Below are 27,588 nucleotides of genomic sequence, written 5' to 3'. Positions count from 1 at the left end.
AATCATACACATCTTTAAAATTTATCCCTAATTTACATATTTTTGATGCCATTATACCTGGTATTTTAAAATCTCAATTTCTGACTTTTGTTGCCAGTGTACAGAAATACAATGAAGTAATTTTTTAAGTATATTGACTTTTTATCTTGCAACATTGCTAAACTCATTTATTAGTTTTAGTGGCTTTTTGTTGTTGTTGTTGTTTTGAGACGGAGTCTCGCTCTGTTGCTGGAGTGCAGTGGTGCAATCTTGGCTCACAACCTACACCTCCCAGGTTCAAGTGATTCTCCTGCCTCAGCCTCCTGAGTAATTGGGATTACAGGCATGCACCACCACACCAGGGTAATTTTTGTATTTTTAGTAGAGACAGGGTTTTGCCATGTTAGCTAGGTTGGTCTCAAACTCCTGACCTCAGGTGATACGCCCAACTCAGTCTCCCAAAGTGCTAGGATTGCAGGCATGAGCCACCACACCTCGCCACTATGATTAATTATATTGATTGATTTTTGAATGTTAAACCAAACTTGCATTCTTGGAATAAACTCCATTTGGTCTTGATGTATTGTTCTTTCTATATATTGTTGAATTCTATTTGCTAAATTTTTAAGAATTTTCACATCTAAATTCACAAAGAATGTTGGTTATAGTTATCTCTCTCTAATAATTCAGTGGTTTTTCTGGGTCATGCTCCTTGTTTAAACTCTAACATAAATCTATTAAATCACTTATGTAGCTTGGGAAAAATAATGTTGGGAACATTTCCAAAGAATGAAAGCAGTAAAATGCATTTGGTATCGTTCTTGAGAGAAGAAAAAAAATTTAAGCTGGATAAGAAAGTCTACATTTTCTGCCAAATGGAGTTTTCTAAATGCTGCATTATCATCAGCTTCCAGATAGATTAAATGTTCCAGAAGAAAGGGAAAATTCCTTATTTTGAAAATATATCAAGAAAAAGAAACAAGATAAAGTTCTTTCTTAGTAGGACAGGAATTCTGGGAAGGGGAAGGATAAGGGGAAATAGCATGTGAAGACGGGCACACTTCATGAGGTTTTCTTTCCCCCCATTTTTTTTAAATGGGAAAAGGAAGGAACATAAAATTCCATTGTTCTAGTATTATGCTGATGCTCTTGCATATATCTCATATAATGGTATTTGACAGGGAAGACTTTTTGAAAGGCAGAAGGAATCCACAATGTTGAGGTCCAGTATGTTCAAAATTGCCCATATAGACACAACTTGGAAGATAAAATTCTACACCTTGATCTTAGCCAAAAGGCCAAGAAGTGATGGAAGCTAAAATTCTTTAATGCATTTGATCTAGTCTTCGAATGGAAAGGCCCTTTTTAGACAACTAATATCCACCCAGAAGAGGGTTACCTGGACAGTGAAGAGACCCAAAACTAGGTCATCAAAAGATGTGTTTCTCCCCTGAAGAAGAGAAAATTGATAGGAATGGGGTCAGTGTGTGGGAATAACACTGTATAATAATTGAAGGGCTTTCTCTATTTATTTGGATAAGGAAATAACTTTTTGGTATATGGCTTCAGATAGCAGAAATAGGATAAAAGTGGAAATTATAGACAAGTAGGATTTCAGCTCAACCGCTGATCCAAGCTGTCTGAATATGGGATTCAGGTGTTTTGTAATAACCTGATTCTGTAAGAACCATCACCCCTCTGGGACACTGGGAGGGGACAGAATTCTGAAGTTCCATAAGAGAGGAAGCCAGAAGTCTAATAGCCAAGGTCCATCACCATTCAAAGAATGTGTGGATCAACTGTGTCTGCTTTCCCTCTCCACACAAATTACAAATATACAATGGTGGGGAGATTATATATATATATATATATTTTTTTTTTTTTCTATAGTGTGTATGTGTGTGTGTATTTGAAGGCAGTTGCTGAAGAGGCCCTCCCACTATTATTTTGTGTGATGACAGTACCACAGCAATTAGCAGTGGACTTGGGGAAGTAACAATCTGTTGAATGTTAGTCCTGAATTAGTTCTAAGTCTCCCCTGGATTAGTGGGCTGAGGAACCTATCTGTCTTCCCGGCTTGGAGAAGGTTTTCTGATTGAAGGGTTGTCCTGCTGCCATGTCGGGGTCCTCTAGGGTCATGGGACAGTCTCAAATGATGGCCAAGAGTGAGGACATAACAGGATTTGGATTCTGGTTTGATCACATTGCTAGCCATGTGAGCTTGGGTAAATCGTCTAAACTTTTTGTTCCTTATTTTGCTTATCTGTAAAATGAGAGTGATAAAACCCACTTTAAGAGCTCATTGTGAGAATTAAATGAGACAGCAGATATAAAACACTCAGGAAAGCTCCTGGCACATGGTAAACACCTAACAAGTGGCTATAGTTAGGCTTGACCTCATGTGTTGCACACTGAGGTGGACGTGGATTGCAGTCACTTTTGGTTGCAATTACCCTGGTTGTTTATTTGATTCACTCCCATGCAAAAATGTGAGCTCCAAAAAAGAAAGAATATTGCTGTGTTATTCACTATTTTATTTCCAGTACTTTGCATGCTGCCTGGCACATTTTTATGCTCAAAAACAATTGTTAAATGAAAAAATAAATGAACCAATCAATGATTGTATGGAAGAATGAATGGCAAGCACTTCTTAGAGAGTAAGAGGTGCTTTGGGGAGGAGGTGTCACCCACATGGCTTTTCATCTGGGAGATTATCCAGCTACGCCCAGGACATGGAAATTAAGTGGAAACAGCTTCCAGAAGTGGAGTACATGCCTCCTCTCCAGGCCCACTGTGAGTTTCTCTCAGTGTTGGCAGGCACAGGTCCCTGCTCATCAGCAGGGGTCAGTAGATGGCACAGCCTTCACTTGGCACAGCTTTTAACTGTCCCCTAGACCAAAAACAGGGCCTAACAAGGACATAATCAGTGAGACAGGTATTGATTTGTTACCACCCGTCCCATCTTATGGGCGAGGAAACTGAGAGTCAAGAAGTTTAAATAACCAGCTCAGAGTGAGACAGCCATAGTTGGTAAGTGATAAGGTCGGGTTCAAGCCCAGATCTGCAGACAGTGAAGGCCTTGTTCTTCCACCAAGGCCCCTGGTACACCAATTTTGGGAAAGCAAAAGAGTTATTAGTATTATCCCCTTCTGAAAGAGAGAGAGCTGTTCTTTATCACTGCACATTTATTAAGCTAAGTCTGGCTGAAGGTTAAGATGGTTTAACTGCTTCAGGGTGACTGGAGAGCTGGGTCAGACGGGACAGCAGAGCTCTGCTAAGCCCTTCCCTGGGACCCCTCACTGCCTGAGGCCAGTGAATCTCAAAGTGTGGCAGTCATTCGTCGGTTCATTGAAAATCCAGACCTGTTGACTCTGCATCTCTGCGGGTGAGCCCAGAAGTCAGTTTCCTGGCTCATTCTTAGTCACTGAAGTTTGAGAAAGCCTGCCCTGAGCTCCTAGCCCTCCTCCGCCTGGACCTCCCTGCCCCTCCCCCTGGTCAGTCTGTCTGAAGTCCAGGCAGGGTCTGCTTCATATTCTCCTGTGGCACATCCCTAGGCAGGAGGAATCCAAGGCCAGAGCAGTACTTGAGATCTGGGGGACATCAGGGCCTGTGGCAGGACCAGGCAGGGGTCTGGCAAACTCTGCTGTGTGGGGGAAGGCCTTGCTCATAAAATTAGGGAAAGAACACTTTATTTTTTATTTGCTGGTGTCAGAATTCCTCTGGCTTGGCTAGGCCAGCCCACGGAAAATAAATATCAGCAGATTCCCAGATCCCAGTCACTCAGTGGGACATGAGACAAGGAGAGGAATTCCTTGTGCTCCTAAGAAGAGAAGGGCACCAGGCACAGCGGCTCAATCCTGTAAATCTCAGCACTTTGGGGGTTGAGGCAGATGGAGCACTTGAGCTCAGGAGTTCGAGAGCAGCCTGAGCAACCTCATCTCTACAAAAATTAGCCAGGCATGGTGGCATGCAGCTGTGGTCCCTGATACTCAGGAGGCTGAGGTGGGAGGACTGCTTGAACCCGGAAGGTTGAGGGTACAGTGAGCCATAATTGTGCCACTGCACTACAGCCTGGACGACAGAGCAAGACCCTGTCTTAAAAAAACAAAGGAAAAGAAGAAGAAGGAGGAGGAGGAGGAGGTGGAGGAGGAGGAGAAGGAGAAGGAGAAGGAGAAGGAGAAGGAGACAGAGAAGGAGAAGGAGAAAGGGCAGGAAGGGAGTGGGCAAGATGGTGGGAAGCTGAGATGGGACAGAGAAGCATCCGGGGCAGAGGGGAGGATGCCTGAAGAGGAGGAAGGGTGCCTCCAGAGGATGGTTGTGGGGAGGTAGAACACCTGAAGAGGTGGAGGTGTCTAGAGGGGGGTGTCTAAAGAGATCTCTAGGTTGTTTGCTGAGCAGTGTGTGAGATGACCTTTCCCAGGCTCCCCCAGTTCTTTAGGAAACTCTATGAAACCCATGAGTATTCGGTGGGAGTGAGTTTTTGTTATGGATTTTGAGGAAGCGTCAGATCTTCAACTGGAAGATGAGGATGATTCAGGCTGCACTCAACTTGGGATCCTGGGGTCTTAGAGGAGGCTAAGAACACATACCGCCCACCCCACCCCTGCGATTCAGAGTCCAGAGGGCTTTGGGTTTCCACAGGCCACACAGAAGCGGAGGGTCAAGTAGATGTTACCTAATCTTGAGGGGCAGGGAGAACTCCAGCCAACCACTCAACCCCAAAACTGAAAAACAGTGAGAAGAAACATGAAAAAGGTGGTTGGCCTCTATAAATGTGACACTAATTACAGCCATTTGTGCAAACTGCTTTCCATTAATGCTTAATTGCTTGCCATGAGGTATAACAACAATTATACATTGCAACAATGACACACTGCAACAATTACACATGGCAACAGTTATGCACTGCACGAACTAAGTGTCAGATTAGCTGAGTTTTATTTGCTTCCATGTGGGCTGGTCTTCCTCATGACTTGTTTTTGGTAGCCTGGTCATCTGTAGGTTAACTCAGTGGCTTTATCCATAACTTTAAAAAGTAAGGACACGGTACTCAGTGTATGAGTAATTCTGTCCTTTAAGGGGTAGACTACCTCGTGCTGGCTCAAATATCAGTATACTGTCTAGTCTTTGGCACTTAGCCAAAAAAGAGAATGCGAGTTCTAATATCTTACATCTGTTTACCCCCTTTTTAAAATCTAGGACACCTATAAAGTGTCCCACACCAAAGCAACTGGGTCCCTGCACCCCTCTAAAACAGAACTTGAATAATCACTCCCAGCCGAGGTTAACAACTCTTCCTAAATCCACACTTTATAGAAGATAATAAAATATGGAAACAGTTCCTTAGGGTACAGTTAATAAAGACAGTGGATGAAAAGGCTCTTCAGTAGTCCCTGCTAAAGAACAAGCTTGGAAGTAAAGGAGACCAGTTCACACATCCAAAGAGGCTATTTCTGAGATGGTGCTTCTACCTATCTCTCCAACTCTTCCTGATGGCCTACTATGTGCCCAGCTCTGGACTAGGCACTGTGATGGGGTCAACAGAAAATACCAAACTTTATTTCTGTCCCCAAGGGATGATAACTGGGGTGGGTGAGGCATCACAGATGAATAAAATGAGCCCAGATAAAAGAAGGGAGAGGATGAGGGAATAGGAAGAAACCACAAATACATCAGCAAAGCAATCTTACTTCTGCAAGTCGTCTGATCCGAGTTGAGAATGTAGCCTTGTTTGCACCTGCAGACGTATGAGCCAGGGATGTTGATGCAGAAGTGGGCACAGTTATGCTCCAGGGTGCTGCACATATGGGCCGCTGAAAGGGAAGACACAGGAAGGTAAGTCAACAGTGATGCCCTTTCTCACTCCATTCCAGCCAGCAAGCATTTATTCAGTGCCTACTCTCTCCTCTGGGCAGGACTCAGAGAAATAAGCTGCAGTCCCTACCCTCAAGGGGGCTCACAGTCCAAGGTGGACAAGACAGGGCCAGATAAAGGGCCATGGAAAATCAAAGAGAAACAGTGTTAGGCTGAACTATATGAAATTGCTGATACTTGATTGGTTTTGATCTACAAAAAAAAGCAAGAAATTTCCAATTCAACTTAATAATACCCATGTGGTGGGCTGGGGAATCAGAAAAGTTTGCCAGCATCAGAGGGGACTTTGACTTAAGTGTGGATTTTTAGGAAGCAGCAATGGGGCTGGAGGAAAAGCTATTAAATAAGCAAGAATGTGTTAAAGAACCAACAGTTTCTCAAAATCATGTTTCAAGAGTAACGTAAATTTTTAATATGCAAAAGTATACACACAATTTTGGAGTAAAAAATGCACTCACACGTTTCATGTTTCTGTAATCTTTATGTCTCAATTTAAGATACCTATTTAGCATCTTTTCTTTCTTTCTTTCTTTTTTTTTTTTTTTTTTTTTTTTGAGACAAGGTCTTGCTCTGTCTTCCAGGCTGGAGAGCAGTGGCACAATCATGGCTCACTGCAGCCTCAAACTCCTGGGCTAAAGCCATCCTCCCACCTCAGCTTCCTGAGTAGCTGGGACTATGGGCGTGTGCCACCATGCCCGGCTAATTTTTAAAATTTTTTTTGTAGAGACAGGGTTTCACTATGTTGCCCAGGCTGGTCTCAAACTCCTGGGCTCAAGCAATCCTCCCAGTTTGGCCTCCCAAAGTGCTGGGATTACAGGCATAAGCCACCACGCCTGCCCTCTGCATTTAGTTCTTGAAGTACCTCAGCTTTCTGGTACATTGGTTCCTGCATAAGTCTGTCTGTAGCTCATAAAAATTCTCTTTTTTTAATGTCCTAATTTATGACTTTACTCAATGTAACTTGATTGTATTTAAAATTAACAAGCAACAGTACAAACATAACAAGTTATGCAAGTGTTCTCATAAACAAAAAAGATGTCTATATGTAGAAATATATTTTTATGAAGCTAAAATAAAAGGAGCTCTCAAAAGCTTAGAACAATTCCATTAATCCAGCGCTTGTGAAAACTCAGCTGTGATTAAATCCATCTGAAGTTTATGTCTCTACATTGGAGTAAGAAATATGGTGGGCAATAAATGAACTAGGGAAGTAAAGCTGTTTCATTTCACAACAATACAATTTAGAATGTACTGTTCTGAGTTTGATTGTCTGTGTTTTGGTTCCTGTTAGGATACAAATATCACTAGGAAAGTTTGTAGATCCAATCAGTCATTTTTACTTCAGGGTGAAACAAACAGCTTTTTTTGTGACCTTGTACAAGTTTCTTTTATTGTTATCATTATTTTTAAATAAAATAGAAGTTTTCTCATTTTTAAAAATAGAGATGATGTCTTACTATGTTGCCCAGGCTGGTCTCAAACTCCTGAGCTGAAGCGATTCTCCTACATCAGCCTCCCAAAGTGTTAGGATCACAGACATGAGCCACCACACCCAGCCCTTTGTGCAATTTTCTTAACTTCTTTATAAGACATGAGAATAAAAATAGCACCTACCTCATAAGAACCTCAAAAAGGTTAAATTAATGGAGATGGTAGAGTGTTGAGAATAGTGCCTGGGGAATGCTGAAGATACCTGCTAACCATTTTATAGCAAAGGAGAATTATGGTGGCATTTTGTCTTATTTTACATCTGTAGGTTCATCCTATATACATTGACCTTCACCTCAGTTTTCACTCAACGTTAATCACAGATTCTATCAATGTTGATACATGTACTGTATTTCATGGAATCTAAAATGCACCCCAGTTTCAGAGATATCAAACTGTGAAGACATGTTCAGTTGATCCTCATTCTTCACAGATTCCATATTTGTGAATTTGCCTACTCACTAAAATGTATTTGTAAGCCCAAACCAATACTCACAGCGTTTTCACGGTCACTAGTGGACATGCTCAGAGTGCATGAGCACTCAATTTAAAATATCTCTAAATTTAGTTTATTTTGTGAGACAGGCTCTTGCTCTGTCACCTAGGCTGGAGTACAGTGGCACAGTCACAGCTTGCTGCAGCCTCAATCTCCGGGGCTCCAGTGATCCTCCTGCCTCAGCCTCAGCCTCCCAAGTAGCTGAGACTACAAAAAAATGTGTTGCCTGGTGCAGATGTTCTCAGCTGAGGTTGAACAAGGAGCCACTCTGCCTTCTTTTTCAGCTTTCATTCTGTGAACAAGCATCCTTTTCACAGTCTACTTAGCACCGTGGTTTTTTTGTTTGTTTGTTTGTTTTTTCATTTCTGTGCTTTCTGTAAGTGATTTTGCGGTTTAAAATGGTGATGCGCCGTCTAGTGTTCCTCAGTGCAGAAAGGCTGCGATGTGCCTTACAGGGAAAACATGTGTTAGGTAAGTTTCATTCAGTCAGGAGTTACCGTTGGCTGTGGGTCTGATGTTAATGAATCAATGGTATATATCAAATACGATGTTTTCGGCCAGGCATGGTGGCTCACACCTGTAATCTCAGCACTTTGGGAGGCCAAGGTGGGTGGATCAGTTGAGGTCAGGAGTTTAAGACCAGCCTGGCCAACATGGTGAAACCCTGTCTCTACTAAAAAAAAAAAATACAAAAAGTAGTCAGGAATGGTGGCAGGTGCCTGTAATCCCAGCTACTCGGGAGGCTGAGGCGGGAGAATTGCTTGAAACCGGGAGGCAGAGGTTGCAGTGAGCTGAGATTGTGCCACTGCAGACACAGCGAGACTCTGTCTCAAAAAATAAACAAACAAACAAAAAATAAGATGTTTTTAAACAGAAACACACATAAAACAAGGCTACGTATTGATTAGTTGACAAAAAATATTGTCACCAGAGGATTGCAGGAACCTAACCCTATATTCCATCAGGAATATATGGAGCAATGGTTTAGTATTCTCTAACTCAGTGTTTGCAGTGACTTTATAAAACATAATTATTGTGAATAATGAAAACTAGCTGTATTTTAGATTTAAAGATTTAATCAAAACCTTAGATCTAGTTTATCCCTCCCAATTGTTTTATCCATTGGTCATATGACTTTCCTCATTTTATTTGGCCATTTCCCCATTGGTAAGCATTTGGGTGGTTTCCAAGTTTTCACTTTCACAGTGTTGTGATGAACATTCCTGAACACGTCCCCTTGAATTCATGTACGATGTTTTCTCTAGGACTGGGTCTCACTTTAAACAGATATGGCCTGATTGCCTTCCAAGACAGCTCATGTCAGCAACGATGGTCCTAACGATTCCCATCCCCTCAAAACTTCAGTACTTGGTGTTATCAAACTTCAAGTTTTGACAATCGTATGGTGAGGGGTAATCATTATCCCACTTTTAATTTGCATTTGCTTTGCATCCTGAAAGACTCTCTTCTTTTCCTGGACTGCTGGAGTCAAATTACCCACGGGCAGAGGACATTTCTAAGGCACTCACAGCATGTCACTGTCTCTCTCCATAATTAAGGAAGTGTAGTGTGTAGGCAACCAACTACACGGCAGTCACCCACTGTCATGAGTGGGAGGCCCAAGTGATGTACCTGGTGCCTGTCTTCTTGGTGAGACCCTAACAGACAAAATAAGAAGACAGGAGATGTGAGGCAGAGAAAATATCTGGCGGGCAGCAGGCAGCATCGTGGGGAGAGGATGGCTACCGGAAATAGACCACCTGAAGGCTCAGCTTCGCCACTCCCTATGACCTTGTGCAAATGACTTGGTTTCTCTGAACTCCACTTTCTTCACCTATCAATTGCGGAAATTAGGCCAGGCATGGTGGCTCATGCCTGTAATACCAGCACTTTGGGAGGCTGAGGTGAGCAGATCACTTGAGTCCAGGAGTTTGAAACCAGCCTGGCCAACATGGCAAAATCCCATCTCTACTAAAAACATAAAGATAAGCTAGGCATGGTGGTGGGCTCAGCTACTTGGGAGGCTGAGGCAGGAGAATTGCTTGAAACCGGGAGGCAGAGGTTGCAGTGAGCTGAGGTCGTGCCACTGCACTCCAGCCTGGGTGACAGAGAGTGACTCCATCTCAAAAAAAAAAAAAAAAAAAAAAAGTTAGTGGGGAGGGGGAATTAAAAGAACTATTGCATTGGGTTTCAGAATGACAGCTTGTTACTAAGGCTTATTTTGGCCATGTGCCATAAGAGAAACTGGAACTAAAAAAGATTATAACTTGGTGTAATGGAAAAGGCACTGGATTGGGAGCTAGAAGACTGTGCTCTAGTTCCCCTCTACCTCGAACAAGTGAGGGAAGTTCTGGGAAATCAGGTAGCTCTTGTAGGCTATTTCTTTACCTGTAGAGTAAAGGCATGGACAGCCTCTAGGGACCTCAGTACAGACACCTATTATTTAATCTGGTACCTGGTTTTTCTAGAAACTGCCCTTCCTTCTCACTCCAGACACCTTGCATCGGGGAGCTGCCGTGGTGGTCTGAGGTAGTCTCACTCCTGGCCACTGTTGGTTGGTACAGGGTTTGACAATCAGAGTCCTTTACTGGCATTTAGGAACCAGAACTGAATAAAAGGAGGCTCAAACTGAGAACAAGTGAGCCTCAGGGGCTGGTGGGGCCATGCTTCCTGACTGTGGACTGGAGAAGGAGAGGAGTGGAGGGGAGATGCAGTGAAAGCAGGACTCTCACAACTGCCATCCTTATTTCCATGGATAATATAATGCACTCCCCCCTCCTTTTAGAAAAAAATGGAATTCCTGACACTTTCAACCAAAAGAATCTCAAACACCTTCACTAAACTAGAATAAAACTTTCCCATCTGTAGAATGCTGTGGGTGAGTGCTGAGTGACTTTCAGAGCATCCAGGCCTCATGCCTTGCCCTCTGTGGGATGGGCCTTTGCGGTGAGAGCCAAGGGGAGACCACAGCCTTGCCTCCTCCACCGGCCTGCTGGAAACAGTCCTATGAGCCTCATTTCTCAGAAGGCCCTCTGGGTTTACACTCAGCCAAGGCCTTGTGTTCAGCGGGGAGGAATAACTAATCAGCAGCCTAAGTCATTGGTGGGATTGGATTTGTTGACTAGGAAATAAGAACAGTCCTTTTTTTAATGATTGTATGAATGACTAAAGGAGTGGTCAGTGTAGGGAGGTGGGCTGGAGGTCTTGTATTACTGGGCACAGTAGACTCAACGTTTGTGAAGTCAGTCCAGCCTCCCCACTTCACATCAGGACCTCAAAGGGGTGCCATCAGTGTAGACTGCCCAGGCCAGTTCATGAAGGGTGTGTCCTAGGAATACTATTAGGGCCTTAAATTGTGCCTGGCCTGGGTGGGGTGGGGCTATTAGGGTAGGAACAGCCTGGCTCCCTGCTCCAAAATACCAGATGAGGCTGATAAAGTCAGCACCTAGAGGTTAATTAAAAGCAATCTCGCCCAGGTGGCAAGAATCACCAGAACACTGGGGACAGCGTTTTCAGCCCATAGATTCCATGTTTTCTCTTACTGGGTGGCAAAAATGGCAGACTCCAGGATGTGTGGGGTTTGGTCATCTTGTAGACAGGACCTCAATTCACAGGGCACCTGGCCTCTCCCTGGTGGTCTCAAGGGTGGCCTGAGAATGCAACCTCAGGATTCCCCTTGCTGTGGCTGGTATGGGAAGTCCCTGCCTGCAAGTATAAAGCCTCCACTGTGCTCAAGATTGTACAGCCAGACAGCCAAAGAGAAAAAAGCCAGGACTCTCACCCAGCGAGGTCTGGCTGCAGAGTCTAATCAATTCCTCACTGTATGATAAAGGTCCTGCCTTGATCACACCCAGACAGAACCTGTCCCAATCTGCAGATGTAGCATTGATTTTCAGTTCTGCCTGCAGAATGCCTAGGCTCACGTCTCAACTCTACCACTTACAGGCCAGGCACAGTGGCTCATGTCTGTAGTCCCAGCACTTTGGGAGGCAGAGGCAGGAGAGCTGCTTGAGCCCAGGAGTTCAAGACCAGCCTAGGCAACATAGTAAGACATTGTTTCTTTTTTAAAAAGTAAAAATTATTCAGTCATGGCGGCGCACACCTGTAGTCCAAGCTGAGATGGAACTTTGAGGCGGTAGTGAGCTATGATCATGCCACTGCACTCTAGCCTGGGTGACAGAGTGAGACCCTATCTCAAAAAACAAAATAAAACAAACAAATAAAAACAAAAAAACAAGCTCCAGCACTTACAGGTTTGTGACCTTGGACAAGTTATTTAACCTCTTTGGTTCTCAATTTCCTCTTCCATAAAATGGGAACTATAAGAGCATCTACTTGACAGGTTTGTTGTGTGAATAAAGTGAGTTAACATACACTAATAGCCTGAAACAACACATGCATACATTAATATCAAGAAATGTTAGTGATTATTAGTATCACCTCATCTTTAAAGCTCTCCTGGAGCCCCCAGGCAGACCCTGACAATTTCCAGTTGTGTAAAATAGGGATAATAGAGCCAGGTATAGTGACATGTAGTCCCAGCTACTTGGGAGGCTGATGTGAGAGGGTTGCTTGAGCCCAGGAGTTCGAGGCCAGCCTGGACAACATAGTGAGACCTTATCTCTTAGAAAGAAAAAAAAAAGATAATGATAGTACCTATCTCAAACGGCTATTTTAAGTATTAAGTGGAATACTGTATTTGAAAGTACCTAGCACAGGACAAGATTAGCTATTATTGGGGTACAGTTTGTGAAAGGAAAATAAAATCTCAGGATCCCAAATCACTATGCCAAAAGGAAAAAAATTAAGCTAAAAGCTGAGTAATGCAAGAAACTGCCTTTGCTTTTGTTCCTAAGCAGATAGCTACAGATAAAAGGTTAAATATCTGCATAAGTAGCTACTCTATGTTCACCTTATCTTATGTAAAGTGTTGATTTACTGAGCACTAGAGGAATACATGATTGACTGTTCCCCTACCTGCTCCTTTTCTCTTGCAACATGTGGATTCAGTAATGTGACCATGCCCTCCCTCTCTCCCTTTTAAATACTGAAGCTCTCAAAATCATCTTTGGAAAAAGGCACAGACCACAGATTGTTCCTGTGATTTTGTGTTCCTTTTCTCCAGGCATGTCCTTAACCTTGGCAAAATAAACTTTTACATTGATTGGGACTTGTCTCAGATACTTTTTGGTTTACAGGTTCAATGAATGTTTAAGGAACAAATGAGACTTCCCAAACCTCAGAGATGTCATCTGCAACTTGGAAAATGCTCACCATTTTTGTCTGATCATTTGAGTGCAGATCAAAACTGAGGCCATCTGCCTAGCCCATCGGTCCTCAGTGTATTTGATTGTAATAATACATAACACAGTGCACACTGAATAGGGCTCTACCATTTACAACACCTGTTCACTCATCTACTTTCTGCATATAAAATCCCCATTTTACAGATGAGGCAACTGAGGCTCAGAGAGCACAAAGGATTTGCTCAAGATTGTACAACTAGAGTCAGCTCCTCTTCCTCCTACGAAGGCTGCCTTCAGAGTTTCACCTATTTTAGGTGAATGCCAATTGCAAAGTAGGTTTACCTGGCCAGGCTGGACTGTGGAGGTGGCCACCAGAAAATGGTTTACCTTAAAAGAGGAATTTGTAATTCCCAACATGCAGAGGAGTGAAATGAGCAAGAGGTTTGGAATTAGCATCCAACTATCTCTTGGCTATTTGTTTTTCAGGTGATTCACTTAGCAAGTTCCTTAACCTGTAAAAAGAGAGTGGCAAGAGTGTGCTGCCTGCCTCCTGGGGCTTTCTGCGATAACATAAGGGAAAGTGCTTTATAAATGTTAGTTACTACAGTCTTTACCATGAAGTTGATAAAGAGGCCCTGGGGCCTCTTCAGCCTTTCAAGACGGCTGCTGAGTCTGCTGAGCAAAGCCGGGCAGTGCAGTGCAGTGAGAGACAGCAGCCCTGTCTCCTGCAGAGTGGATGGGGGGACTCACAGGGGATTCATTTCTCAGGCACAGGAACAAGCGGGATAACGCTAATGTTTTCTTAGAGCTTCCAGATTATAACAAAGAAGATGAAGGGAGGAAAAGTCCAAACTGCCTTTTCATTTTGCTGCCTTGCCAGAAAGCACACAGAGATGGTTTTTCCACAGACAAGTCCACATTGGTATATCCTATTCGACACCAGGATTGCGGGGGTGGGGGGAGGGGGGCGGTCAGTCCCATTGTGTAGCTCCTCAGCCTTATCATGTTATCTTTCCATTTTCTGATAAATACAGAAGGCTTATAAAAAGAACCCCTCCATTAAAATTTTCCAACACAAATGAATAAGCTGTCAAAATGGTTACAGAACCAATTTCCCTTTTAATATTTTCAGGAAAGGGGAAACATAAATTCTGCAGAAGTCATTTAAAGTCATAAACCTTGAAAATGTTTGCAGTGTGTTCTGCTGATTGAAGTGTTCCAGCTGACTTAGGCCACAACACACCACAACAACACAGCCTCTGCAGTGCCAGGGAAATGGCACTTCTGAACACTTTCCAAGTGGCATGGCAAGGAAAAAGGTTCTTTTTTTCTTCATGGCATTGATTTCTTAAGTAAATCTTTTGATTCCGGAGTCAAGAACAAATGAGATCTCTGTGCTTTTTGAAGTTAGTTCTCAGCAGGGGATTTTGTTTAATACACATCAAAAGCACATTGTTCTTCGCTGGGGGCTATATCTTAGAGGTCTAGAATATGTCACATTCTGAGAACCCCCTCCTGGGTGCCCTCTCCTGGGGAGTTGGTGCTGAGTCTGGCTCTAAAGCTCATTCTCCACTCTGCTCTAGGAAGATATTTTACATTTTACAAATAGATATTTACATATAGATAATTTACAAATAGATATTTAAAAATAGATTATTTCCCTTTATTTCCCCACCAAAGATTCATGGTAGCTGGAGGGGACAGGGACCACTGGGAATGGACAAGTCAGGGTGGGACATTGTTTACCAAATCAGGATGCGAGTTTCCTGGATTGGGCGGCTGGCCCCCTGCCCTCCCGGAGGAGGAAGGAACAAAAAGGCAGCCGCAGAGGCAGGAAACTGGGGAGAATGCAGGCTGACCTGCTGAGAAGAGTGGGGGCAGCAGCAGGGGTAGAGATAACTGGAAAGTGCGTGGGAAGGAAGGGAGAGAGAAGCCCTGTGAAAAGAGGGTTAGAAAGCAAAAGAGGAAAGAAAGCTTCCAACATAGAAGAATGCAGCTCAGGGGCTCCGAGAGGCATCTTCCTGCAGAAAGAGTTGGCAGGTGAGGAGTGGCCCCTACAATCTTAACAGGTGGGGAGCTGCCAGGACCACACCTTGGTCCTCTGTATACGCTGGACCTCTTTGTCAGCTGAGAAAACATCCCCTGCCAGCACCACCATGGGGCAAAAATGCCTTGGTATTCCACACCATCCAAGGAGAGATTATGTTACTTTTTCTGCCCTTCCATTCCTATCCGTACTCCAACTCATGAATTCCAACTTAGGGAATTCCAGGGCAGCTCCATGTGCTGAAGAAAAACTCTGTCTATCTACTCTTCCTCATTCTGTGGTTTGGGCTTACGTGTCCCTTCCCCAGGGCAATCTCCCTGAGCATCCAGGCCTAGATAAGGTCCTGGGGTTGCACACTCCTTCATGTCCTGAATTCTTCCTCCATTACACTGTGACAACTATAGTTACTTATTTGTATAATTATATATTTAATGTCTGTCTTAGCTGGGTGCTCATGCCTATAATCCCAGCACTTTGGGAGGTTGAGGCAGGAGGATCGCTTGAAGCCAGGAGTTTCAGATCAGCCTGGGCAACATGGCGAAACGTTGTCTCTACAAATAGTTAAAAAATAAGCCAGGCATGGTGGTGCACACCTGTAGTCCCAGCTACTCATGAGGCTAAGGCAAGAGGATCACCTAAGCCCAGGAGTTTGAGGTTACAGTGAGCTGTGATCATGCCACTGCACTACAGCCTGGGTGACAGAGCATGACCCTGTCTCTAAAAGATAAATAAATAAAAACATGTGTCTCTTGGCCAAAGTGTAAGCCCCTGGAGCACGTTGTGTTTATCTTGGCCTTTGTTGAAAACCTATTGCCAGCACAGTACCTGGGACATAGTAACACAGAATGAACACTTGAAGATGAATGAATGAATTCTAGTGGTTCCTCTAGAAGAGTGACAAAGGAGCAGGACTTACTGCACAACTTCTTCTGGAACACGGAGGTCAGCGTCTCAATCTGGCTGAAATTGGCCACAAGGAAGACATGGTCCTCATGGGGCTCACTCCCAATGGACTTCAAGGTGTTGAAGTCTACCTGGCCCACACCAATGGCAAAGATTAGGATGCCCGTGTCCCGTGCCTTAGCAGCCACCTCGGCCACGGAGTCCTGAGGTCTCCCATCTGTCACGATCATTATGACCCGTGGCACATTCTCCCTCAGGGGCCGGGCCCCCTCTGCTTCTGAGAATGCGATGTTCAGGGCATACTGGATGGCCAGCCCAGTCATGGTGCCCGTGGACAGATGCCGCATCCTCTTGACAGCACGCTCCACCTCGGACTTCCTCTTGAAGGTCTTGAGGGAGAACTCATTCTTGACAGTGCTGCCATATTGGAGCAGGCCCACTCGGGTGACATCAGGACCAATGTCCAAGAATTGCAAGATGTCCACGATGAACTCCTTGACCTTTGCATAGTCATGGGTGTTGACACTGCGAGAGCTGTCAATGATGAAAACCAGGTCTGCCCGCTTGTTCTCACAGGAACTCTCTGGGGAAAGAGGAGAGGTCAAATACATTAGAAGAGAGGCCAGGTGTGGTGGCTCACACCTGTAATCCCAGCACTTTGGAAGGCGGGTGGATCACCTGAGGTCAGGAATTCAAGACCAGCCTGGTCAACACTGTAAAACCCTGTCTCTACTAAAAATACAAAAATTAGCCGGGTGTGGTGGCGGCACCTGTATTCCCAGCTACTCGAGAGGCTGAGGTAGGAGAATCACTTGAATCCAGCAAGCACAGGTTGCAGTGAGCCAAGAGAGTGCCATTGAACTCCAGCCTGGGCAACAAGAGTGAGACTGCATTAAAAAAATAAAAATAAGAATAAAAACATTAAAAGAGAGTTAAGGACCCAGGGCAGACTGGCTATTGTTGGAAATCCTGGGACTGATGATCACCTTTGAAACCTCCTTCATCAATTTTCCTCCCCACTCATGAAAGTTATAAGGGTATATTTGTGCATGGCTGGAAGATCATGACTACTGGCTATAATCAGATAGCAATCCTTTTTGCAAGATAAATGAATATATTAGTTTCTAGAAAGTTGCCAATGCAGTTTTTATGTAACCAAACACCTGATCAGGGTCAAAATTATTTTATTCTTTACTGCATGACACATAAGCTTGGCTGGGCACTGCAGAGAATATAACAGAAGCTTAGGACAGGGTCCAAAGTTAAGGAGCTTCTAATCTACCTGGGGAGAATTAACTAATAAAACCATGAAAGAATAACTGGCATGAAAACTGTGTCGTCCTGACAATAGCTGCTAAGAGAATAGGGATATGAATGGGCTGGGGTCAAGGAGATGGGACGTGAGCTGACCTTATAGATGCGTGGTGTTTGGATTAGAGAGAAGGAGCACATCGAGTGGATCACATGAACCAAAGCCCAAGACGGAATGAATGTGGTGGGTAACAGAATAAGTGATGAGACCTTGTAGTAGAGGGTATACTAGGAGTTGCAGGCAGGAATTAGTTGGACAGATGGCCTGAAGCCAGTTTAAAAAGACCTTTCCTTTCAGACTGAGAAATATGTACATGATGCCACCAGTGAGGGGCATCTTAGCATCATATTATGTAACTCACCTCTCCCATAGGGAAGTTACATAATGAAAAGTCAACAGAGTCTGGCAGTGGTTTGCAAGATGGATGGTATACACAATTTCTGGACTAATCTCATTGAGAGGGGGACTCAGATCTAATCCTAGGACAGTAGTGGAAATAGAGAAAAGGGGACCTGACTAAGAAATATTTCAACAAAGGACACAGTTAAATTGGAAAAAGGCAAATGTTAAGTCCCTTACCACCATGACTACCATAATTATGCCTTAAGCTGCTAAGCAAGAAGACTGTAAAGGTTTGAGTCCATAGACAAACTCATCCCTTTTGCGTTTCTAGTACGAGGGTGATATTGGATGAGATGAGAGGCCTCCAGCTTTAGTGGGTGGAGGCTGGGCATTCCTGTTGGGAGTTTCTCGGATATTCTGAGCTACTGCCTTTCACCAGGGTGAGTCCCTCCTCCCCCATTCTCTACTCCCTTCCCGGACTTTGCAGCTGAATCAGGATTTGAAAGGTATTAGAAAAGGGATCCCAAATGCTTGCCCTAAATCCTAATCACCACAGCTGCAAGAAAGAGAGAGAAAGCCAAAATGAAACAGTAAAGCTAGTCATAAAAATGAGAAGTGGGAAAGGCCCATGAAGTCATCCTGTCCAGGCCAGCTTGCCAGGCTGTGACTCGTCCCTGAGTGCCTGCACACACAACTCATCCTTGCCGCCTCACAAGTCTAATGATTTTAGGGGAGGAGGCACCCACAAATACCAGTAGCCTGGCAAGAAACCAACGTTCTGACATACCCATGCATAACCCTGAGGGCTGGGTGAGTCCAGGGTGAGTGTCTCAAAACAGAGGCCCCAGAAAGTGAGCCTTTGAGGGTTCAGCGATAAGATCTATATGAAACCTAACATTTCCAGAGCACTTTGTCACTTGGTGTGATTTGATTTTCAGAACAAGTTTTTGAGAAAGGATCAAGAAGCATCATACCCATTGCATAGATGAGAACATGGGAGCACTGAGAGTTTGAAATCTTTCATAATTTAGAAAAAGAAAAAAATATACAGAGGTGCAACCAATATCCACCTCGTTGGGCAGCTGTAAGAATTTAAGGAAATGATGTAATGAAGGATCCAGCACTTGGGAACTCCCGACGTGTGCTGGCTGCATGTACAGGCTCTCCCCACCCCTCCATCAGCCCTCACTCGTGTCCAGCCCCAGGCTGGGTAGGGGCAGGGTTACAGCTATGGCTATGTGGTTGGTGCTGCACACAGGCACCTGCTCAAGGAGGTGAGAGGAACTGAAATCCAGCCAAGCCCTGAGCCCCAGGGGCTGAGCCACCCTAAGAGGCACCTTAAGGGGGGTGCTTTTCAGCCAGGTGCAGTGGCTCACGCCTGTAATCCCAGCACTTTGGGAGGCCGAGGCGGGAGGATCACAAGGTCAGGAGATTGAGACCATCTTGGCTAACATGGTGAAGCGCCAAATCTACTAAAAATACAAAAAATTAGTCAGGCATGGTGGCACGCACCTGTAGTCCCAGCTACTTGGGAGGCTGAGGCGGGAGAATCACTTGAACCCAGGAGGCGGAGGTTGCAGTGAGCTGAGATGGCGCCACTGCACTCCAGCCCAGGTGACAGTGCAAGACTCCACCTCAGAAAAAAAAAAAAAAAAAAAAAAAAGGCAGGAGTGCTTTTCTAATTTTCATGAAGGCTCCTGTGGTTTAGCATATAGCCCTGGGTTGGGGCAGTAGATGATGGATCTGCAGATCCCAGGAAGGAGGACAAGGGGGAGCATTCCCAAGACCCAGGCAGGCCCTCTCCAAGAGCCACACCTGCCCGACCCTTCATGTCTGAACTTACTGCAGGGAGAGTGTGACCCAATAATCTTTACCTGCTGAGAAGAGGGGCCAGGCTTAGACCCTGCCATGGAGGAGGATATTAATTAAGGCACCTTTGAAGGGAGGGAAATTCACACAAGACTCGCACTCTGAGAACTCTCTTCCTTTGGAGATCTTTGGAAGTAGCAGAGCCTCCTTGGATTGGGCCTTTATTATGGGTCTTAGTCATGGTGTCAATATCTATCCAAGCATCACAATCAATTTAAAGGGAAGCCTGGAAGTTCCATGGAGAATTGTGTGCTAAACTGGATTCTCTCCCTTCAAAACAAATGGGTAGTTTCCACAACACCTGCACATGTACAAAAACGCCACAAAGGTTCAAAATGTTGTTGGAGGTTCCAAGAAAGCTGTAATTCTGAGTTGAAAACACCAAGTCCTGGCAGCCCAAGTAACTGAATTTTCTTCAAAATGTGTCCTTGGGTCCCTTGAGGGCTCAGAACCACAGTCTCATAGCTTGTCCCTGAAAGGGCTAGTTCAATGGTTCTCAAACTCAAGTGTGCATCTCAACTCTCTAGAGGACTTGTTAAAAACTAAGACCAGGCCAAATGCACAGTGGCTCATGCCTGTAATCCCAGCACTTTGGGAGGCCGAGGCAGGCAGATCACCTGAGGTTGGGAGTTCAAGACCAGCCTGACCAACATGGAGAAACCCCATCTCTACTAAAAAAAAAAAAATAATAATAATACAAAATTAGCTGGGTGTGGTGGTGCATGCCCATAATCTCAGCTATTCAGGAGGCTGAGGCAGGAGAATCGCTTGAACCTGGGAGCTGGAGGTTGCTGTGAGCCAAGATCATGCCATTGCACTGCAGCCTGGGCAACAAGAGTGGAACTCCATCTCAAAAACAAAAACAAAAACAAAAACAAAAACAAAACAAAACAGAACAAAACTAAGACCAGTGCACCACAACCCCAGAGCTTCTGATTCTGTAGGTTTCCATTTCTAACAAGCTCCCTGGTGAAGTCAATATTACTGGTCTAGGGACACACACAGGTCAAAGAAATAGAGAGCTCTCTGGAGAAAAGAAGTTCTATAAAGTCTTGACCTTGCTATCTCACTGGGAATTCCCCAAGGTTAGGAAACTAGTCTCATTTATCTTTGTAGGCATGCAGTTGGAAACACAGAAAGTCTTCATTCAACATCTGTGGAATTAAATGGAATTCTGGTGGAAGCAAGTCTTCAGGGAAAGAGATTGAATCAGAGCAGTTAGTACAAAAAGATGATGACAAGCACGAAGCCAAAATGTTCTAGAGGAGATGTGGTCCTGCTAATGGAGTCATAGATTCTAGGACCCAAATCTTTGCCATTTTATGAGGGACCATAACCACTTCTGAAGTTTGACTCATGGAATCACAGACTAGTAGAATCTTAGAGGCAGAGGGGTCCCAACAGAGTCCAAGTCACTCATTTTATAGAAAGGAAAACTGAGGCCCAGAGAGTTGACTCTATCTCTGCAAGGCCCTCATGGCTCACCATGGTCAGACCTGATGCCCTTTCCATCGTCTCATGGCAGGCACCCTTAGGAAATTATCAGTACAGCCAGCATTATGATAGGAGCTTTGCAAATACCTGGGAACACTCTAAAACATTTGCTGTGAAAAGCTTCACAGTTTCTCCACATGGGAACTGTTGAGAGATGTTTCCAGGAAATGGATTTCCTTGGTGTGTGTTCTTCTTATGCTGACAACTGGTTCTGATGAAGGACATCCTGTCTCCTTGGCCTGGGAGAAGAACATACAATGATCTTCCTTCTGGCCTCTCATGACAGGGTTTTCAGCCACAGTTGGAGGACAGTTTGTGGGCCCATAATAAAACGTCATCCCTCTAACCATAAAGTGATGATCTGGACTCTGTTAACAGCTCTTCCAGTACTGTCAGCTTGACTCCAAAGTCCATGTATTGGGCAAATGAGTGTCTTTTACTCTTCCAGAGAAAGGGAACTGAGCCAGGACAATTTTAAGCAACATTCCTACTCCAGCAGAATGACAATGTGCAACATCAGAACTATTTCCTCCTCTCAAGATTGCAGCCTTGTCACTAATCAGCCTCTCTCCCGTTCTGGCTAAATTCAATCATGGCAGTGTAATCATACTGTAAATATTTGGTGCCATCTGCATGGGGAAGTTAGGACACATTTGGAGAAGGAATGAATATGAATCTCCATGACAAGGGTAAAATCATTTCATCTGGAGACCAAAGGGGGCTCTGAAATCCTAAGTGAAACAGTATTAGAGTCCTATGATCCCATGCAAGCCCAGCCTCTGCCACTTTCTGTCCAAATGATCTTGAGCCTCTCCTTAACCTGTGTGACCCTCAGTCTCTTCCTCTGCAAAATAGGGATAATAATACCTTACAATACTGTTGTGAGACTCAAAAGAGAAAATAATCGTAATTTATAGCTAATATTTACTGAGCACTTAATTAGTGCCAGGCCTTGTTCTGAATGGTTTACAGGTGTTGGCTTGTTTATTCTTCACACACACCTTAGAAAGTAGGAAAGAACACACCTTAGAAAGTAGGTGTTGTTACTGTTCTTTAATAGATGAGGACAGTGAGTCTAGAGAGGTTAGATAACTTGCTTGAGTTCTCCTATCTAGTATAAAAGTGAAGTAAATATGGCCTGAGAATGACTCCATGCTTCTATATTTCAGTCTTTGTGGAAAAACTGCAACCAAGCTTATAAGTACACAAGATTGAAAACCTAACTTAGGAGTATGCACCTGTAACAATAGCTGAGTCTTGGCCAATCCCAGCGGCCGTACTTCAACCATTCATACACTACTGAGTGTTCAAACTGTGTTCAAATAAGACAAACGCCAGCCTGTAGCCAATCCACCCGCTGTGTACCTCACTTTTGATTTCTGTACATCATTTCCCTTTTTTTGTCTATAAATCTTCCACCACGTGGCTGTACTGGAGTCTCTGTGAATCTGCTGTGATTCTGGGTGCTGCCCGATTCACAAATTGTTCATTGCTCAGTTAAACTCCTTTAAATTTAATTTGGTTGAGTTTTTTCTTTTATCACTAGGAAGTAGAGGAGCTGGGATCTGAACCCATCGTGATGGCTCCGTAGTCTGCACTCTTAACCACCAAGCTATACTCATGATGAATATGAAATGATTTTGTCCTTTTAGATCTGCCATTTCCAGAATACTCAAGATGCACCAGGGCTGGATTGGCTCTCTGGGGTCAGTTCTTTCCTTGCCTGGACTCAGGGCCTGAAAGCTATGGCCCAAACTTGCCTACCTCCTGCCAAGTGCTGAAAAAAAAAAAAAAACACTTAATAATATGATGAAAACAGATGCTTGCCTGCCTGGATAGCAGCAGCCCAGTAAGTCAAGCCACTGATGGTTCCCATTCTTACTCCTCGACAAGCGCTTACGGAGAGTTCAGTACGGTCAAGGGCCAGGGGGAGAATGAAGGACGGGACAGGTGTGACGGAAAGAGAGAGGTCACCGATCTTTGAGGGGCTGTGGGGAATAGAAGGACTACAGTCTGGACAGTAGTCAAATACCCAGGAAAATTGATTTCAGAAAATGTGATGTTCCATATCAATTCCCAGCAAAGTTCCCACGAGCAGATGGTTTGTGGGCACTTAACAAGAGAACCATGAAAAATGTAATAACACAAGTGAAAAAAAACTGTAACAGTTTCTAGGACAGTGGAAGAGTGAAGGGATTAGGGAACTAGAGTATGATTTCCAGGCCACATTAAAGGCCTACTTAAAGGCTGCAATTATGAAATTTACATGAGACCAATCCAGGTGGTTGCATGTTTTGCTACAGCCACATTCAGCTACACAGATATGGGGGGCAGGCTGGTAAAAGTTGAATTTAACAAGGGTTATCATGTAGCCAAACGAGAACGATGAATCAGGAAAGGGGCAAAGGTAGTTGACAGTGACTATAGTGATTCCCTATAGAATTGAAGCTGGGGAAGCAGGAAATAGAGGAATTGAGGTGAAAGACAGTGAAAAAATAGCAGGATCAATTAACTGGAAGTCCAGATAAGGTCACAGAATTGTTGGAGTTGGAATACTAGTACAGGTAAGCTGGGAAGATAGGAGGTTTAAACTGAAATTATGGCAGGAATAAAGTTACTGTAATTATAGGGTCAAGATAAGAGAAGAAGGTGGCTGAAATCTAGCTGGGAACAGTAGCTCATGCCTGTAATCCCCGCACTTTGGGAGGCCAAGGCGGTTGGATCACTTGAGGTTAGGAGTTTGAGATCAGCCTGGCCAATATGGTGAAACCCCGTCTCTACTAAAAATACAAATATTAGCCGGCCGTGGTGGCAGGCGCCTGTTATCCCAGCTACTTGGGAGGCTGAGGCAGGAGAATCGCTTGAACCTGGGAGGCTAGACATAGCAGTGAGCCGAGATTGTGCCACTATACTCCAATCTGGGCAACAAAGCAAGGCTCCGTCTCAAAAAAAAGAGAGACAGAGAGAGAGAGAGAGAGAGAGAAGTGAGTGGCTGAGATCTGGTGGAAGACAAGAATATTGGAGAAAAGAATCTCAAAGCTATTAAAGGATGATTCATGATTCATGTGGATCTTGAAATCACCAACAATTATGACAAGGGTAATGCTGGACAGAGTAGCAGTAAGCCAAGAGCTAAAATTGTTCTTAGAACTAGGAATAACCAGAGGATTTTAAAAATTACCGAAGGGTGACCCAAAACACTATGAAGCATGATTAAAAACATGATTAAAATTTCCTAAAGGGACAGAGAAAAAACTAGCTCACCAACAGTTTCAAAGGGACACTGGGGAGAAAAGTTGAAGCTGTTTTATGATGAGAGAAGAACAGAGAGAGAGAGACAGCAAGCCATGATCGTAATGAGCTAGCAGGAGTTTAAGAAAGAAAAAAAAAAGGGCATGCAAAATGTACGTTTTATTCCTAGATGGAACAGACCAAGAGGATCCACGGAACTCTGTAGTATGGATCTCAGCAAGGCAAACGACTGACCCTAATAAGGCAGATTCCCTGCATGCAGAACAATTAGGTAGAACTCTTAGGTTGTGAGCCAGTCATTCAACATACCTATTGTATGCCAGGGCCTGGGGATACAGAGGAAGGAAAAGACTCCTGACTGTGAAAAGGACACAATAACGGGATACAATGAAGCAGGCAGACCAAAAAGATACAGTGTGCTGTTGTTGATAAATATAAACAGATCAAGCCAGTCTGGAAGGAGGTCTCTAATGATACATGCTGAGAGAGAGAAGGACAGTGAGGGAGTGGTTGACTACCTTTTGGTAGAGGAGAGAGGGAATGGTTGACTGTCTCAGGCTCTAAGGCAAGCTTAACAATGCCATTTTTTTCAGTCCCTGGCAGACATTGTTAATCAATTCTGGCCCTGTCCCCCTCAGCCTGGATCCTTTCAACATGGCACTTTGAGTACCAATAAACAATTTGTCAGAACTGGCACATGAAATAGAATCCTTCTACCAACCTGGTCTTAGAGCCTGGTGCTCTGCAACAAAGATTGAAGTACTCAATTTTACCCACGTCTGAAAAAATGAATAAAGGTAAACTAGCTAATCATATGAGACACCGTCTGACTATAAAGGCTAACATTCTTTTTCAGTGAGAAATAAGGGCAGGCAGACAAGGCTGGCTATGTGAAGGGTCAGCACATGAGCTTCCAGGTAAAACTGCACTCATGAGGGAGGGCTGCCAGGTGGGCATGGGGTCAGAGCAAAACAAATAGAAAGATTGTAAGAGATATTTCTCATAAAACCGTGAAAGCGGTATGGATCCTCCACTATAAGAATATAAAACTAGCACATCAGAATACAAGGAAATTGCATCCGATAAGCCAGCAGTCCCCAACCTTTTTGGTACCAGGCACTGGTTTAATGGAAGACAAATGTTCCAGGGACAGAGTGGGGAAGAGGGGGACTGTTTCACCTCAGATCATCAGGCATTAGTTAGATTTTCATAAGGAGTGTGCAACCTAGATCCCTTGCATGCACAATTCACAATAGGGTTTGCGCTTGTGTGAGAACGGAATGTCGCCACTGATCTCACAGGAGGTGGAGCTCAGGTGGTAATGCTCACCTGCCATTCATTTCCTGCTGTGCGGCCTGGTTCCTAACAGGCCACGGACTGAGATCGGTCCACAGCATGGGGTTTGGGAACCCCGGCTGTACGCATTTTATTTATGAGACTTGAACTACATGGGCTTGTCAAAGAGAGACAGAGAGACAGATGGACTGAGAGCAAAGACGACCGTGCGACACAGCAGTGGGATCCCACCCACCACTGTGCTCCCTCAGGGGCATGTCCACAGACACCTGAGATGCGGCCCCTGAGCCTCCTCAGGTGCTTCTGTCCCTGTGTGCCTCCAGACTGTGACCAGCTCTCAGTGCTTAAGGGTAATTGAAAGGCTACTTCAGATGTAATTTAGACTATATTTGTTTTTTTTTTACCACAGTGCGACTTCCCCTGCAGTCCCCTGCATTTAGGGCACTTGATTAAGGCACCATGGTCCTTGTCCAGGAAATAATCAATTCTCCCCTCTCCAATTCCCTTATTAGTCAGTCGCCAGCTGCGGCATCACATGAGGCCTGACACTGTAGAATGCAGTTGATGAGCTAGGGCTTTCTTTGACTCAGTCGTGCTCTATTCACATTTTCTGAAAAAACCGCTGGGGAATATTCTGAAAACTTGCTTCTACTATATTAGGGAGACACCCTGGATTACTTAATGGGTCTAAGACATATTGTGAACTCATTAGCAAATCATTTCCCACTTGGTAACATTTTCCAAACATTTTTGCAAATTCTGGAGGCATTTATGGTTCTCCCTACACCACTGCATACGATGCTGGGAGGAACTGTTAATAAGCTGAGTAACACAGACAGGCCCAGAAAGGGTTTCTGAGGGATGGAATAATGAGTAGAAACTAGTAAGATGAAGTGTAATTGGTAAAAATGTCAAGCCCTGCACGTAGGGTTCGAAATCAACTGCATAAACCAAAGGAAGGGAGACAGCTGGTCCCATGATAAAATATGGAGCCAGGATGGCAAGTCCAAGCCTTGCATGTCACCCCCATGTCCCCAGCCCTGGCATCTGTGACCGACACCCCTAATCAGTCCTGGTCTCAGAATCAAAGTCCAACCACAGGATTCCTCTTGACACAGCACCCCAATTTCCCATCACCCATAGACTGGAGGGAGCTTATGAAAATAAACCGATTTGTCTTCCAGATGTCACTTTCCAATTACTCCCAATCACTCCGCCTCCCAGGCTCAAGTGATCCTCCCAAGTTAGCCTCCAGAGTAGCTGGGACTACAGGCACACACCACCACACCACCTTATGCCCCAGTCATCTCATCAATGGCTTTCCCAGAGAGAGACTCTCCTGACAAAAATGGACTTTAATCTTCCCCTTTCTACCAGAACTTTCCCATGAATGAATATTTTAGTGAGTTTCATTGATCTGAGTCCCAAGAACCAGAAATGACAGCTTTAAACTCCTAGTATCGGGCTGGGTGCAGTGGCTCACGCCTATAATCTCAGCACTTTGGGAGGCTGAGGTGGGCAGATCATCTGAGGTCAGGAGTTCAAGACCAGCCTGGCCAATATGGCAAAACCCCATCTCTACTAAAAATGCAAAAATTAGCCAGGCATGGTGGCGTGCCCCTCTAATCCCAGCTACTCAGGAGGCTGAGGCAGGAGAATCACTTGAACATGGAAAGCAGAGGTTGCAGTGAGTCGAGATCACGCCCCTACACTACAGCCTGGGCAACAGAGCAAAACTCTGTCTCATAAATAAATACATACATACATACATAAACTCCCAGTATCCATGAGTCTTGGGGAGCTATTCCATCAAAGCAATTTCTTCAAAAGCCACCATCCCAAGGGTCACTAATGGCAAGGTTGCTGATGTTCAGGGGAGAATGAACTCATGAACTCAGCCTTCTCCACCAGCCACCACTCCCTGCCCTATACCTTATACAATGTCACACTGCCTGTCTGTAGTCCCTACACAGCGCCCTCTCTGCTAGGC

General features: G+C 44.5%; 1 protein-coding gene across 4 annotated transcripts in view; it reads right to left on the bottom strand.

Annotated features, from left to right (window-relative positions):
• MATN2 (matrilin 2) overlaps positions 1-27,588 on the bottom strand; it is a 167,661-nt gene that overhangs the window by 89,156 nt on the left and 50,917 nt on the right. For all 4 annotated transcript variants that reach the window (NM_002380.5, NM_030583.4, XM_005250920.3 and 1 more), the window contains exons 3-4: positions 16,047-16,616; positions 5,670-5,792 (exon numbers count right to left, since the gene is read on the bottom strand). In NM_002380.5, coding sequence (NP_002371.3) covers positions 5,670-5,792; positions 16,047-16,616 — 693 coding nt within the window. The remainder of the gene's footprint in view (positions 1-5,669; positions 5,793-16,046; positions 16,617-27,588) is intronic.

This window comes from Homo sapiens, chromosome 8 (genome assembly GCF_000001405.40).
Source record: "Homo sapiens chromosome 8, GRCh38.p14 Primary Assembly".
Classification (NCBI taxonomy): domain Eukaryota; kingdom Metazoa; phylum Chordata; class Mammalia; order Primates; family Hominidae; genus Homo; species Homo sapiens.
This window is presented reverse-complemented; position numbering and strand designations above follow the sequence as displayed.